This window comes from Homo sapiens, chromosome 12 (assembly GCF_000001405.40).
Source record: "Homo sapiens chromosome 12, GRCh38.p14 Primary Assembly".
NCBI classification, from domain to species: Eukaryota; Metazoa; Chordata; class Mammalia; order Primates; family Hominidae; genus Homo; species Homo sapiens.
The window spans coordinates 5,034,074-5,035,742 of record NC_000012.12 but is presented as its reverse complement, the minus strand read 5'-3'; the positions used below and the strand labels follow the sequence as shown (position 1 = coordinate 5,035,742).

Sequence of the window (1,669 nt, the reverse complement as noted above, 5' to 3'; positions counted from 1 at the left end):
CCAGTTACCAAGTGGTGAAGGCTGCTTTCCTAGAGCCCAGGAATAAGGCAAAATTGCAATGTGTGTGTGTGTGTGTGTGTGTGTCTGTCTGTCTGTCTTTGGGCTGAGGTGAGGAGGGCCTGGCTGCTAGCATCCTCTCTAGGCCATGTAATGAGCATGACATTGGCAGGCAGAAAACAATGGTTGAGTCCCACTCTACACCTCTGACCACTACCTATAAGGTTTGAGCAGCTAATTTATCCTGTCTAATGTTTTAACCTATAAAATGGGAAATGCAACATTGAGTTCATGGTTACAATAGGGTTTGTGTAAAATAAACTGCATTTAAACTGGGGCCTATTATGTAATCGTAATAGTTAACATTTCTTGAGCTGTTGTTATATGCCCAACCTTGAACTATAGTTTTCACATACTCCACAATGCTGCATCCTCAAAACAGCCCTAAGGAGTAGATGTTATTGTTAATTCCAGTGTATAGATAAGGAAACTGACTAATGCAGGTACACGAATTGTCGAAGGTCTCTTGAGTAGTAAACAGTAGAGCCCTGGTGGCTGCTGGTCACTGCTATGCCATTATTGGGGCATCTCCTCTGAAGGACTGTACAGCAGAGGATGTTTTTCACTGGGGTTCTCCTGCTAACTCTCCATACCCTTCTCTCACCCTGGCCTTACTTACATCAAGTACTATTCAAGGACAGTTGGAGAAAAGCCAATGATAAGGTATGAATAACTGAGAGCCCCGAAGAGCTCCCACGACATTGCTTGTTCATACACAAGAATCTCTAAAAGGTGGAATGCCTTACATCTTGTCAAACCCAAGTGACTTCAAGAGGCAGAAGTTTCAGACCTGATCGTCTATGTGACTTCTGACGGGGGAGCAGCCTATTGGCTCCTCAGCCAACCAAGGCAGCTCCACCTGCTGCCTCCTGGCTCCTGCCTGAGTCAGATCTGTGCAGCCTGGTTGAGATCAGAAGGAGTGAGATGAAAAGGAAGCTGTTGAGAGAAAGGAAAGTTAAGGCCACCAAGACTCAGCTGTGGAACGTCAGAGGTTTGGTTTTCAATCTCAAAGGAAGGAGCCTTTGTGGAGGCCATTAGCACTTCAGAAACACTGGAAATAAAGAAGCACTTTCTTTTTGAGACAGAACTGATAGTCACCAGAAGCCACTGCTGGGCTATGCCAGTTTTCACCTCGTTATGGACATTTGTAAAGATTCAGGCTCACCCAGGGCCTTCCTTTGGGGGAACTCTGAGCCCCTGAGCCCATCATCTCAGCTTTCACAGGAAAGAGGAGACAGGCTAGGATGAGAAGTCCGAATCTCTGAAGGAAAGGGCAGCAATACATGGTGATGGGTGTGAATTCTGACTCTGCAAAACTTACTGGCTGTGTGACCTGGGGCAAAACACTTAGCTTCCCTGTCCCTTCACTTCCTTCTCTGTAAAATGGCACTAATCCTATTACTACTATATTAATAGTAGTAATATAACAGAGTTGCTGTAAAGATTAAATTAGTTAATATTTGTAAACTGCTCAGACCAGTGTCTGGCACAAAACAGGCCCTATGTGTTTATTAATAAATGAAATTTTAAAGATAGATTTCATGCCAGGAAGAGGGCCCAACACATTCCTCTTTAGAAAGACTATAAATAGAGCCAACCAAAGGACACAGGA

General features: G+C 44.3%; 1 annotated feature.

Moving 5' to 3' along the window:
• Positions 796 to 1,330: an enhancer, noted in NCBI's record as "NANOG hESC enhancer chr12:5143579-5144113 (GRCh37/hg19 assembly coordinates)". NCBI's record gives its function as "activates a minimal SCP1, AML or CMV promoter by ChIP-STARR-seq in naive H9 embryonic stem cells {active_cell/tissue: H9 hESC(naive)}" and the evidence as "EXISTENCE:reporter gene assay evidence [ECO:0000049][PMID:30033119]".